The sequence below is a fragment of the Homo sapiens genome, chromosome 22, assembly GCF_000001405.40.
Source record: "Homo sapiens chromosome 22, GRCh38.p14 Primary Assembly".
Lineage (NCBI taxonomy): Eukaryota > Metazoa > Chordata > Mammalia > Primates > Hominidae > Homo > Homo sapiens.
This window is the reverse complement of record NC_000022.11, coordinates 50,688,419-50,703,104: the sequence shown is the minus strand read 5'-3', so window position 1 is coordinate 50,703,104 and position 14,686 is coordinate 50,688,419. Positions and strand designations below refer to the sequence as shown.

General features: G+C 51.8%; 1 protein-coding gene and 1 pseudogene across 1 annotated transcript in view, besides 1 other annotated feature; one reads left to right on the top strand and one right to left on the bottom strand.

Moving 5' to 3' along the window:
- The window catches only part of SHANK3 (SH3 and multiple ankyrin repeat domains 3), a gene marked incomplete in the record, with an annotated part of 60,390 nt that overhangs the window by 30,108 nt on the left and 15,596 nt on the right, over nucleotides 1–14,686 (bottom strand). Inside the window, 4 exon segments of the mRNA NM_001372044.2 lie at nucleotides 4,302–4,415; nucleotides 5,390–5,541; nucleotides 5,544–5,548; nucleotides 8,059–8,330. Coding sequence (NP_001358973.1) covers nucleotides 4,302–4,415; nucleotides 5,390–5,541; nucleotides 5,544–5,548; nucleotides 8,059–8,330 — 543 coding nt within the window.
- Nucleotides 7,552–8,052: an enhancer, noted in NCBI's record as "H3K4me1 hESC enhancer chr22:51133481-51133981 (GRCh37/hg19 assembly coordinates)". NCBI's record gives its function as "activates a minimal SCP1, AML or CMV promoter by ChIP-STARR-seq in primed H9 embryonic stem cells {active_cell/tissue: H9 hESC(primed)}" and the evidence as "EXISTENCE:reporter gene assay evidence [ECO:0000049][PMID:30033119]".
- Nucleotides 11,742–11,845, top strand: RNU6-409P (RNA, U6 small nuclear 409, pseudogene; annotated as a pseudogene).

Below are 14,686 nucleotides of genomic sequence, written 5' to 3'. Positions count from 1 at the left end.
ATGGCCAGCACCAAGCTAGCCAGCTGTCTGCCCACCACTCCACCCTCACTGACCTGAAGGTTCGAGCCACACCTCCAGCCATGACCTCTCTGCTCCCACGAGCTCCTCCAGCTGCCTGCGAGCCCCACCCACCAGCCTTCCCAGCCCCGCAGCTCCACTCTCCAGGACCGCAAAGGCCCCACAGGCAGCACCACCACTGCCTCGCTTTCATCCCTCAGCACCTTCCTCATTTCCTCTCTTGGTAGCATTTCTCAAGATCCATGTTTTCCTTCAGCAAGTATTTATTGAGCTCCTACTGTGTACCAGCTCTGCAAATACAGCAGAGAAGAGAACAAAGTCTCTGCACTCGTGGGGTTTATAATCTGTTCTGGGAGACAGGATAAACAGAGGATAAAGACATAGCATGCGAATGCTGGCAAGTGCTCAGGAGACCAGCGAGCAGATCAGGGAGGGCAGAGAAAGGCACGCAAAGGCCTCACCCCCACGGGAGGGCTGAGCAGAGGCTGAGGATGGGGAGCAGCCTGTGGATATGTGGGCAAAGGGCTTCCCAGGAGCGGGGGTGGTCAGGGGAAGCCCACGGCAGGCATCAGCCTGCAGCATTTGAGAGAGTTCAGAGCCTGTGCAGCTGGAGCAGAGGGAGCTAGAGAGAGTGGCAGGAAATGAGATCAGAAAGATAACCTGCAGCTTTCGATGACCTGTTTCCCCCACTAATTGTGAGCTCCTTGAGGGTAAGGGCCACATGTTCTTTATCTCTGTGATCCTAGCACCCAGCACAGCACCTGGCACGTCACAGGCATTCTGCATGCTGACTAGGAGAGTAAATGGTGGACAGGTGCATCTGAGATAGACGGACAGAAGGGATGCTGACTAGGAGAGTAAATGGTGGACAGGTGCATCTGAGATAGACGGACAGAAGGGTGGATTGAAAGGCACTGGACCAGTGGATGGAGGGAGGGAAGGAGAGGGCCATGGGTAGATAGGTCAAAGAGCAGACAGATACATGGGTAGATGGATGGATGGACTGGGTGTGTAGACAGGTAGGTGGAGAGGTGGATGGATGGAGGAAGGGAGGGGTGGTGGATTGGGTTGGCTGGTGAGTCAACGGTTAAGAAGATGATGGTGGGATGGGTGGGTGAGTCAAAGGATAGATGGCTGTAAACATAGGTGGAGCAGTGGCCGGACGGAAAGAGGAAAGAGTGCCTATTTCTATCAGAAGGCACAGATATCAAAAAAGTATCGGGCTGGATTCCAGGTCCCAGCTACTACGTTGTGTGACTCTCAGTAAGTCAACAGCCCCCTCTAAGCCCGCCCATATAGAATAGAGAAATCCAACTTGGAGGATCCCCTTGGTTCTGATGACCTATATCTTATCCTGGCATTCCCCAACCACACCTGCACCCCTCATCCCGCTGAACCTAAGGCCAGCTCAGGCCAAGCCTCATCACCACTCAGGTGGGGCATCAGACCCCTCCTTTCCTCCATCACACCCTTCTCCACGTCGACAGAGGCACGGAAGTGTCATGGTGCTGCCTGCTGAAGAACCCGCCACACTTGCACTTGACCAGCCTCCTGTTTTCAGATGTTGTCAACCAAACAAATTGTATGGATTACATAACACAAACTCATTTTTCCAGTTTTGTTAATAAGACACATAAAAGCCAGCTGAAGAGAAAATGCCCAACACAGCCATCTCCTACTACCCACCCAAGTGCTGACCTTACTGCAAAGAAAGGGAAGGAGGGAGGGGAGGGAAGGCACAGGGCCTGCTCCTGCTGGGCCTCCAGAACACACCTGACCTCGCTTCTCCATTCCCTCCCTCACAGCTCCACCCTCTGCCTGCCAGGAGGTGCCGTGGGAGACTGCTCTCTGCTGGGTAAGTGACCAGGACTCGCCTCCCGATCCCACAGCAGGCACCGGCTCTGGGCACCAGCCCCTGCACGCACAGGGACTATGTCCCCTCCCTAACCTTTAAGTCCTTTTCTGTCCCCACTCCAGTCCCGGAAATGGATTTTTTTGGGGGGTGGGGGGAGCAGATCTGGGCCTGTTGGAAGCAGGTTCCTGTTCCTGGGCTGCACTCTGGCCTCTGGCAGAACTCGGCCCCGGGATCCCAGAGCAGAGGCTCTGCGCAGTGTGGCCAGCAGGGCCTGCAGCCAAGGTCAGAGGGCACTGTCACTGCTCCCACTCCCTGCCCTTCGCAGGCAGCCTCCGCAGGTCCCTCTCCCGCTGCCCACTCATGAAATACTCCCGTCTACCCCGGGACCTCTGACACTCACTCCCCAGGTCACACACACCATGGCTGCTGGCTGGAGCCCAGACCTGAACCCTCCTCTCCATTGCTCTGCTCTGCCCAGCCCGGGCTTTGATCCTACACAACCTGCACAATCAGACACTGCGGCTGGGTTCCCTCCGCCATGATGCCACACTGTCACTTGACTCCATGCCACCTGACCACCCCGTGGTCCCCACACCAGCCTCGCCCCTCACCCCATGCAGGCGTTTCACTCACATAGAACTTGCTGCCTGTGTTGCAAACAAGACTTTGCCCCTCAGGGCCATGTGACCCCCTAGAAATGGAATAACAACAAGTGGCCCCACCTCTTGGGACTGCTGGGATGAGTCAACGACTTATACGTGTAGAAGTGCTAAAACTGTGCCAGGCACTCAGAGCAGGCCGTGCTGACACACAGCTGTAGAGCGCCACACGGACCCTGCACACACGGCTGTCCCCTCAGCCCCAGCCGCTGACCACCTAGAGGACTCAGCTCAGACAATGCCTCTGTTTTGAGGCCCTCTCTGACTCCTTCAGGCCAGCCCAGGGAGCTCCCACGCTCACACGGCCCCCGTCACAGCCACTGCTCCCACAAGGCTTCCAGCTGAGCCTCCGTGATCCCGGCTCCCAGCACAGGGCCCAGCACATGACAAACACCTAAAAAACATTTGCTGCTCTCCAATTCTGACTCCAGCCTAAACCCCCCTCCCTCCCCGTCAGCTTCAGACGTAGGTCCAAATGCCCCTCACTCCACACAGTCCTCAAACCAGAACCTTCCTCACCACCACGTGGGGGAGCTCAAGACCCGCTCCCGCCACAGGTGTGGATCCCCCTACCTCTCCTTCCCCTCCCCTCTCCCATACTGTCTGAACCAGGGCCCAAATCTCTGAAACCATTTCCCATCTGGACCCTGCCCTATCCACCCTCCGCGGGCTGAGAACAGGGGGCCAAGTCCCTTCCACACTCTAAGCCACCAGTCAGAGCAAGGCAGAACAAGGCCAAGGAAGGAGGAAAGGGCACCGGCCCAGGAAAAGGTCAGTGGCGAAGCTCCTGCCTCCCTGGGCCTCTGCTGAGCTCAGCACAGGGCAGGGGTCCAGGCCGTACAGGGGTGGAGTCGCTGGGAAACTCTCAGAGGTGGGGACACAGAGATGGGGACACAGTAACCCCAGGCCTGAGCCCTTCACATGCAGAGGGAGGGTGCATGCACCCTTGATCCAGACACACCACCGATGGCCCCCAGTGACCATCACTCAGGAGAGGTTTGCTTGGCCCACCAGCTCTCCAGGACAGAAGCACATGCATGGATCTGGGGGCCTCCCGGGACCCCTGAGGGTTCCTTGCAAGGGCACCCCCAAGACACGCACCCAGCTCCAGCCCGGGGGCCCCCAAAGGACCAGATGGTCAGCAGGGCTGGACAGCAGCCACTCACCAACCCAGGAGCTGCAGCCTTCACCTTCACATCCTCCCTGCAGGCTGAGGACCAGCCCAGCCTCACCTGCTGCCCTCAGACCATCCCTGCCCCAGGGCACTCACCAGGGCACCTCCAGGCCCAACTGGCCTCATTTCCTCTTGGCTGCTCCGGGCCTGCCTGCTCTGCCCACTTGGACAATCTGTCCACTTTGGAAAAACGCCTCTTTTCTCACACTGACCTCCTTACATGTCTGCCAGCTACGCAGGAATCATGCGTTCCACACACCTGGTGTTTCTGAAGGACTGTGCTGGTGGGGTGCAAGTCACTGGGAGTCAATGTGGGATCACACAGACAGAGGCCCCGTCACACACGTCCTATGTGTCTCCACTGCACGTGAAGCGTCAGGTTACATACACGCATGTTCCCAAGTATATGCAGAGTGTGTGCACACGTGTCTGTGTCATGTACACAAGTTTGCATCTACTTTGAGTGTTTGTTTGAGTTTACCTCTAGTCTTTTCTCTATGAATATCCATGTGGATTTAGCACCAAGAGAGAACAAAGGGAAACTGGAAGGGGTGGTCCCCTTGGGAGCTGCCCGGGGAGCCGTGGGGTCACTCACCAGGCCGTGTGTCATGCTGCCTCATCTGCACTTCCTCCACGCAGTCGGCCGGGAACCAGCCCGTGCGGCCTTTCACGGTTCCCTCCCAGAAACCGCCCTCCCCAATGCTGAGCACTGGAGGAAGAAGCCAGACAGGCCGTCAGTGGGGAGCAGAGCTGGGCGCCTACCCCACCTCAGGAGCAGGTTCTGCCCACCCACCCCCTGCCCTTTCCCTCCTTCCCTTCCCACTTTCTCCCAGCTTTTTCCCTGGGAAGATTTTGGGATCCACGCAGAAGAGAGAAAGGAACAGATGGGCTCGGCACAGGGTGGGCATGTGGGGGACAGAGAGACACACAGATGGACACACTCGGGGAGGGGCGCAGGCAGGGGCAGGGGCCACACTCCTGCTGCTGCCCCCACCCCCAGCTGACCATGCTCCCCCAGCCCCTTCAACCGACCCCCATCCTGGCTCTGTCACCCACCCAGGGGTCACTGCCGAGAGCTCGGGGTCATCGTGCTGTGGCCAGTGGGTGAGGCCACGTGATGCACCAGCTGGGCTGTTTCCACCTCAGCCGGCCCTGAGGCTAGGAGCCCAGTGATGGCCCCGAGACCCCCAGAATGAGAGGGGTTTGTCATGGCACGCGATCCCCCCAGAACACAGGAAGCCCCGGTGACAGAAGCCTGCATAACACAAACACCCACATGACGGTCACAGACACCCCACGACGGCAAGGGTCCCCCACATCGCAGGGGCCTCCAATGGAGAAGCTGCAGAAGTGCCACGGGAACCCCGCAATGCAAGGAAGCTCTGTAATGGGACAGGGTCCTTCAGGCAGAGACCCCCGGGGACACAGAAACGCCCGTGGCGAGAGAGGAGCCTCCGTGGTGACACAGGGAGCCCGGAACGACAGAGCACCGGAGGGACCCGCACGGCAGGAACCTTCCCCAGGCAGAGCCCTTCACCGTGACACCAGGGATCCCACAAGGGCCCAGGGCCGCCCCGGCAGAGGAGACCCCAGAGCCACTGCCCCGGCCCGGCCAGCACCGCGCGCGGCGCCGCCCCCTCCCCGCGCCGGGCCCGCCCCCCCGCGCCCCCCCGCGCCCCTCACCCTTCACGGCCTCGCCGCGGTGCAGCGGGATCTCGCCTTCACCCTGCGGGCTGTGCGCCTTCACGGCGATGAACTTGCGGCCGGGGACGGCGCTGTAAAGTTTCCGCTTCGGGCCCCGGGGCGGCGGTGCGGGGGGCGCAGGGGGCGCGGGGAACCGAGCTCGAATTCGAATACAGCTCCTGGGCGCGCCAGGCTCGCTCCATGCCGCGGCCGCCCCGCGCCCCGCCTCCTCCACGGCCGGGCTCCTCCCTCTGCGGGCGGTGGTGGCGGCCCTCGCGCCCTCCCTCCCGCCCTCCCCTCGCCGCCGACCCCCGGGAGGGGGAGTTCGGACGCGGACGCGGGACGGTGGTCAGGGCAGCCTAGTGGGAGCGGGGGATGGGGCGGGGGCTTCGGGCACCAGCAAAGCCGCCTGGAGCCGGTGAACGGGAGGGAGGGGCGCCCCCCCCACCCCTCCAGGTCCAGGGCCCGGATCGCTGGGTGCCCAGTCCCCCTCTAGGCCTGGGTCCCCTCGTCCTGGACACCGGCCCCTGCCCACGCCCACTGCGTGATGCCCACCTTCCCCAGACCACTCCCAGACTGGGGTAGAGCCTGAGCTCTCACTCCTCCACTGGGGCTCTGCTCAGAAGCCTGCAGTGGCTCCCTAGTACCCAGGCAGGCCAGAGCCACCCGCTTTTCCAAGAGCCAGGCTCCCTCGGGCTTGGCAGTTTGCTACGCTCTAGTCACACGGGGCACCTCTCCTTCCCCTCCTGTGGGCTGTCCGTCACGCAGTTGCCAACACCTGAACTACTCTAACATCCTGACCCCTGGGCCAGCTGTTAAGTGACGGGCTCTCAGCCCAAACTCCCCCGCCGTGCCCCGTGTGATACTGGGGGGCTGATGGGGGTCGGGTCCCGGTCCGGCTCAACCGACAGAGGGCGCAGCGACCCGCGCGGTGCAGGGCCCAGCCTCGCCTCCCCCAGGGGGTGACTTCTCTCCTCGGGGCACCGAACTTCCTCAGCCCCTCCCGAGAGCTGCAGACCCTTGTCCACTCACCAGGGCAGCCCCATAAGGGGATCACTGCCCACCTAACTGCTGCTTAGCCCGGGCCCTCGGCTGTCAACTTCCTGAGACCCACCACCTCTGACGCACCAGGCACCCAATAAATGTTTGCGAGGAAGGAAAAAACAGAATTCTGCCATCCCCACAGAGCAGGTGAGCTGGAGCCCCTCACACAGCAGGTCTTAGTTTTGTGTCTGCTGAAAGGATGAATGAACACGTACAAAAAATGAATGCAGGGAGGAGCCTGTGGCAACGCGTGCCTCCAACTCAGGAGCAGCCTTTCTGCGGGATGGAAACATCCGGAATGCAGAATGTGTTCTTTCAGCCACTGGGCCGCCCAGCCCTTAGAAAATCCGCGGGTCTATAAGAAAGCTTCAGGGGAGAATTGAGATTTGGGGCAGTACAGCCAGCCTTGCGAGTCCAACAAGCCCAGGCAAAGACAGACACGGAGACATCGCTGAGACCAGGCTGCAGAGCAGGGGCGGCAGCACAGGAAGGGGCGCCTTCCATAGGCCCTGCTGCACCCTGAGCCCTCTGCTGAACACTCAGGCTTAGAAAGTTGGGGATTGGGTCTACCTGGGGCCCAGTGAAGCTGATCCGTAGCTCTGTGACTCTGGACCCGTCACAGGCCCCACCTGCGTACCAGGACGCTCATCTGTAACATGGTATTAATAGAGCATGAACATGTACGTTCGTCAAGGTTAAAGGAGCTAGTATACACATGCCATTCAGCCCAACAGCGGGCCTGGACTGACAGAACTGTAAAGGCCGGCGGCCATCCTGACAACAACATACTGTTTATGTAACTCTTCCACTCAACAATGTCTGCCAAACACCCTCCTCAGTGCCTGGCTCTGATGAAACTAGGAAACGACAAAGACGGTGCCTGCCTTCAAGGCACAGGGAGGGCAGGTGCTTTTACCGGCAGTTGCCAGACTCTGCCAGGTGATCCCTCACCTGCCCAGGGCATTCTGGAAGGCTTCCCAAAGACAATGACTTAGGTAGGACTATTCCCACTTACTGATGAGAAGCCCAGGCACAAAGTGGCTGAGAGCCAGTGCGCCCACCTCAGCACCCAATGCACAGCCCAGAGAGGCCAGTGGGCTCCGGTCCAGGCATCCCTGCCTCAGGGACCCAGGCCTCAGGGTGAGGGTAAAGAATAGAAGCCACAGAGTCCTGTAGGTGTGCCAGGGCTGGGGGAAACCATGAGTATACCCTGGGGACAGGGCTGGGGCTTACCTGTAGGTTTTGGGCCCTACTGGAGTGGCAACTCCATCCCTGTCCCCCTTACCACAGGCCACCAGCCCTGACTCTTCCCAGCCATGCCTGACAATGCAGTGTGTTTTCTAAATCACAGGTAGGAGCATACCCTCTCCACCTAACACGCTCCCTCAACTGCCCACTGTCCTCATGGCAAGCCCAGCTCCAACCGGAAATCAGCGTGCATGTGCCTGTCCCCACCTCCAGAGATGCCTTCTTCCCTTCCCCAACCAGGAAGCCCTAGCCCATCACTACACAGGTGCTAGGCACCACCAGGCCTCTCTCTGCCTCCCGGTGCTGGCTCCTCCTGGCTCAGGTCCCGGCACCCCACCCTCCCAACCCCTCCAGGGCCTGCCAGCCCCCTCCTACCTGATCTTGCTTTGGCCGGCCCTGCCTGCTAAAGGGCCACTGATGTTGCTCTCCTGGTCGGCATCCCGGTCACGATCTTTCTCCTCTTGCAGCCGCTGGAGCAGCAGCTGGTGGGGGAGGCTTCTCAGCGAGGGTCCAGGAGAAGCTGCTGGCTGTGCCTCCCCCTTCAGGTTGATATCGCTGGCTGAGCGCTGCAGAGGCCGAGGGGATGCCAAGCCACTGGGGCCAGCCAGTCGCCGCCGCTTCGCATAGCTGGGGGTTTCCCTGAATGGTACTGGGGTAAGGGGGCATAGGTAAGACTCTGAACAGCCAGCTGGGTGACCAACTTGTCCAGTTTGCCCAGGCTTTCCAGATGTTAAAACTAAATCCTATGTTCCAGGAACTGCCTTGGTTCCAGGCAAACCAAAAGAGTTGGCCACCCTACAAATGAAGCTACCATTAAGGGGCCACATCCCAGTCAAACTGCCTCTCACCCTAGCTTCAGAGGTAGAAGCCTGCTTCTCCTCTCAGCCGAAAGGGGCCTTGAGGGTGCTCAGATATGCTCTAAGAACTGCATTTCACAAGCTTCAGGAGAGACAAAACAGGCTACATGTGACGAATCTCACCAGACTACTGCTGAACAGGACCATTTGCAGTTAACTATAACCAGGGAAACTATAAAAGACATTCTAGACCAGGGATCAGCAAACCTTTTCTGGAAAGAATTGGACAGTAACTACTTAAGGCTTTGCAAGCTATATAGTCTGTGTTGCAATGACTCAACTCTGCCACCGCAGCATGAAAACCACCACAAACAACATACAAGCAGATAGGTGTGTTTGTGTTCCAATAGAATTTTACTTAAAAAGCAGATAGTGATTAAAAAGTATTATCCAACTATATGCTACTTACAAAATAATCACTTTAAATCCAAAGACACAAATAGGTTCAAAGTGAAAGGATAAAAAAAGCAATCTAATGTAAATAGTAACCAAAAGAGAGCTGGGTGGTTATATTAACATCATACAAAATAAACTTTAAGATAAAAACTGTAACAAGAGACAGAGAAGGACATTATATGTTGATTAACAATTACTAACATATACACACCGAACAACAGAACATCAAAATATGATACAAACAACACAATTTAAGAGAGAAATAGACAGTTCCACAATAATAGTAAGAAACTTTAATACCTTACTTTCAATAATGGGTAGAACATCTGGAGAGATCAATAAGGACATAGAAGACTTAAACCAATTAGACTCAACGATACGTACAGAACATGCCACCCAACAAGAGCAGAATATATTCAAGAATTCTTCTCGAGTACACATGGAACATTCTCCCAGACAGACTGTATGTTTGGCCGCAAAACAAGTCTTGATAAAGTTTTAAAAGACTGAAATCATACAAAGTATCTTTTTCAACCACAACGAAACAAAGCTAGAAATCGAGAAGTGAAAGAAAACTGGAAAATTCACAAATATGTGGAAATTAAACACCATACTCCTAAGCAACCAATGTGTCAAAAAAGAAACCAGGCTCAAAAAAGAAATGGTGGCTCAAGCCTATAATCCCAGCACTTTGGGAGGTCAAGGCAGGAGGATCACTTGAAGTCAGGAGTTTGAGACCAGCCTGGACAACATAGTGACACCCCCATCTCTATAAAAAATAGAAAAAGCCAGGTGTGGTGCTGCACCCTGTAGTTACAGCTACTCAGGAAGCTGAGGTGGGAGGATGGCTTGAGACTAGGAGGTTGAGGCTGCAGTGAGCCAAAATCAAGCCAGGGCACTCCAGCCTGGGCCATAGAGTGAGATCCCATCTCTTAAAAAAAAAAAAGAAAGAAAGAGAAAAAAGAAATCAATCATAAGGAAAATTAGAAAACACTTTAAGACAAACAAGAACAAAAATACAACATATGGAGCAAAAGCAGTACTTAAAGGGAAACAACGCTGTAAACACTTACTTTTAAAAAGGAAAACAATCTCAAATCAATAACCTAATTATACATCTTAAGAAACAAGAGAAGGCCGGGTTCAGTGGCTCACGCCTGTAATCCTAGCACTTTGGGAGGCCAAGGCAGGTAGATCACTTGAGGTCGGGAGTTCGAAACCAGCCTGACCAACATGGAGAAACCCCGTCTCTACTAATAATACAAAAATTGGCCGGGTGTGGCAGTGCATGCCTGTAATCCCAGCTACTCAGGAGGCTGAGGCATGAGAATTGCTTGAACCCAGGAGGCGGAGGTGGTGGTGAGCCAAGATTGCGCCATTGCACTACCGCCTGGGCACCAAGAGTGAAACTCCATCTCACGAAAAAAAAGAAACAAAAAAGAAACGAGAAGGCGAGGCTCAGTGGCTCATGCCTGTAATCCCAGCACTTTGGGAGGCCAAAGCGGGAGCATCACTTCAGCCCAGGAGCTCAAGACCAGCCTAGCAACATAGTGAGACCTTGTCTGTATGAATGAACCAATAAAAGAAAAGAAAAGAGGCCGGGCACAGTGGCTCATGCCTGTAATCCCAGCACTTGGGAGGCCGAGGCAGGCAGATCACCTGAGGTTGGGAGTTCGAGACCAGCCTGACCAACATGAAGAAACTCTGCCTCTAAAAAATACAAAATTAGCCAGGCATGGTGGTGGGTCCCTGTAATCCCAGCTACTCGGGAGGCTGAGGCAGGAGAATCGCTTGAACCCAGTTGGCGGAGGTTGTGGTGAGCTGAGATCACACCATTGCACTACAGCCTGGGCAACAAGAGCGAAACTCCATCTCCAAAAAAAAAAAGAGAGAGAAGAAAAGAAGAAACTAGAGAAAGAAGAGCAAACAAAATAAAGAGGAAGGAAGCAAGAGAGGGAGGGACGGAGGGACGGACAGACTAGAGAAAGACCAAAAAGAAACAAACAAAAAAACAAGAGAAAGAAGAGCAAACCAAACTAGCAAAAGAAAGAAAAGCTAGCAGAAGGAAGGAAACAGTAAGATTAGAGCAGAGATAAACAAAAGAGAAAAACAGCGGAGAATCAAGGAAATAAAAGGTTGTTTCTTTGACAATATCAACATAATTGACAAACCTTTGGCTAGATTGACTAGTAAGGAGAGAAGATGGACAGAAATAACTAAAATCACAAATGAAATTTGGGGACTTACTATCAGTGTTACAGAAGTTAAAAAGGAATATAACACTATGAACAATTACATGCCAACAAATAGAAAAGCTAGATGAGGTAGACAAATTTCTAGAAAAACACAAATTACCAAAACTGACTCAAGAAGAAACAGAAAATTTAAACAGACCTATAACAAGCAAAGAGATTGAATCCTTAACCACAAGCCTCCCAACGAAGAAAAGTCCACCACCAGATGGCATCACTGGTGCACTCTACTAGAAATTTAAAGAATTGACACAAATTCTCAAACTCTTCCAAAAAACAGAAGAGGAGGGAACACTCCCTCATTTCACGAGGCCAGTATTACCCTGCTACCAAAGCCAGATAAGGGCATTGCAGGAAAAGAAATCTACAGACTAATGTAATCAATATAATACATCACATTAATAGAACAAAGGGGGAAAAATGATCATTTCAATTGATGCATAAAAAGCATCTGCCATAATCCAACACTCTTTCATTATAAAAACACTCAGGAAACTAGTAATAGAAGCTAGTAACTTCCTCAACATAATAAAGGAAATTTATTAAAAATCCGAAGTGCTTGCTTCTGCAGCACATATACTAAAATTAGAATGATTCAGAGATTAGCATGTCCCCTGCACAAGGATGACATGCAAATTAATGAAGCATTCCATATTTAAAAAACAAAAAACAAACAAACAAAAAAAACACACATAGATAGCACCATACACAATGGTGAAAGATTGAATGCTTTCCCCCTAAGATCAGGAACAAGGCAAAGATGCCTGCTTTTACTACTGGTATTCAACACCGTACTGAAAGTTCTAGACAGGCAAAAATAAAAATTAAAAAAAAGGCACCCAAATTGGGAAGGAAGAAGTAAAACTATCTCTATTTGCAGATGGCATGATCCTATATGTAGAAAATCCCAAAGAATACACCAAAAGAGCTACTAGAGCTAATAAACAAATTCAGCAAAGTTGTAGGGCACAAGATCAGCACACAAAAATCACTTGTTTTTACACACCAGCAATGAACAATCCAAAAAGGAAATTAAGAAAATAATTCCATTTATAATAGCATCCAGAAGAAGAAAATAATCAAGAATAAATTTAACTAAGGAAGTAAAAAAATCTATATACTGAAAATGACAAAACACTGCTTAGAGATGACCTAAATAAATAAAAGGACATCCCATGTTCATTAATTGGAAGACAATGGTGTTAAAATGTTAATGTCACCCAGAGTGATGACAGATTCAATGCAAAATTCCAATGTCCCTTTTTGCACAAATAGAAAAGCAATGTTCAAGTCTATATGGAATTGCCAGGGGCCCTGATTAGCCAAAACGATAACAAATAAGAACAAGTTGAAGCACTCAAACCTCCTGATTTCAAAAGTTACTACACTCCGGGTGCAGTGGCTCATGCCTGTAATCCCAACACTTTGGGAGACAGAGGCGGGTGGATCACCTGAGGTCAAGAGTTCGAGACCAGCCTGCCCAACATGGTAAAACCCCATCTCTACTAATAATACAAAACTTAGCTGGGCATGGTGGCACACACCTGTAATCCCAGCTACTTTGGAGGCTGAGGCAGGAGAATTGCTTGAACCTGGGAGGCGGAGGTTGCAGTGAGCTGAGACTGCGCCATTGCACTCCAGCCTGGGTGACAAGAGCAAAACTCCATCTCCAAAAAAATAAAAATAAAAAGTTACTACAAAGCTGCAGTAATCAAACCATGTGGTCCTGGCATAAGAATATACATGTAGACCACTGGGATAGAATTGAGAGTCCAAATAAACCCACATATCTAGGATCAATTCATTTTCAACAAGGGTGCCAAGACCATTCAATGGGAAAAGAATAGTCTCTTCAACAAATGGTGCTGGACAATTGGATATTCATATGCAAAATAATGAAGATGGCTCCCTACCTCACACCATAAACAGAAGTTAAAACTTAAAATGGATCAGTGACCTAAGAGTGAAAACCGTAAAATTCTTAGAAGAAAACCTAGAGGATAAACCCTCGTGACCTATGACACCAAAAGCATGAACAACAAAAGAAAAAAATAGATACCTTGAACTTTATCAAAATTAAAAATTCTTGTACATCAAAGGACATTATCAAAAAAGTGACAAGGATCTCCTATTCTACAGAGAAAATATTTACAAATCACATATTCCACACAAGTTTAGTATTCAGAATATATAAAGAACCCTTACAACTCAACAACAAAAATAAATGACCCAATTTAAAAATGGACAAAGGACTTGACTTTTCTCCAAAGAAGATATACAAATGCCCAATAAGCACATGAAAAGATGCAAAACATCATTAGTCACTAGGGAAATACAAGTCAAAATCACAATGAAATACCATTTCACACTTACTAGGATGGCTACGGTCAAAAAAAAAAGATAGTAACAACTGTTGGTGAAGATGTGAAAAAACCGGAAGCCTCATACATCACTGGTGGGAATGCAAAATGGTGGAAAACAGTTTGGCAGTTCCTCAAGAAGTTAAACATAGAATTATCATATGATTCCAAAATTCCATTCTTAGGTATATACCTAAGAGATTGAAAATAGATATTCAAACAAGTACATGTACACACATGTTGACAGCAGCAATATTCAAAACAGTCAAAAGGTAGAAACCCACATATCCATTGACAGATGAATGCATAAACAAAATGTCATTTATACCAACAGTGAAATATTATTCAGCCATAAGAAGGAATGAAGCAGTGATATATCCTACAAGGTGAAGCTCAAAAACATGTTGAGTAAAAGCAGCCAGACACTAAGTGTCACTTATTATATGATTCCATTGACATGAAATATCAAGAATAGGTAAATCTATAGTCCACAGAGACGAAAGTGTGTTAATGGCTGACAGAGTTGGAGGGAGAGGGTAATTGATGCAGAATTATTGCTTAATGTGTCCAGGGTCTTCTTTTGTGGTGATGAAAATGTTTTGAATTCAATAGAATCGGCTGCACAACACCGTGAATATACAGAACGCTACTGAATCATTCTGGCCTAGAAGTGGTCACCTCTGCTTCCTTGCCTCTGTCACGTCGGGTCACTCTTTGGGTCCACATTGTCTCTTACCCTCTCTCAGGCACACACTCCCAGGCACAGGTGTGTTCTCATGGGCATGACAGCACCCTGGAGAAGCATTTCCCCAAGGTACTCATCAAAAGCACTGTGGGATGCCCATTCCACGCCCAGGCCAGGGACCCCACCCAAGGCCTGTCAGTCTAGAGGGGGCAAGCAAGGCTGTCGAGAGGCAGCAAGCTATCCTGTTGCCTGAAGGGTTACACAGGTCCCAGTCTACCAGATCCCACCGGGTGGCACCTGCCCACCAGAGAAGGCGGCACCTCCTTCCAGTTCCTCTTCTGTGTACAGGCCCCACTCTGGGACCCCAGTGGGCATAGGATGTAGCAAGTCATGACTGTCCTGTCCTTGGAGCAAATGTGTACGGAGGGCATGGGAGTGACAAAGGCAGACCCTGA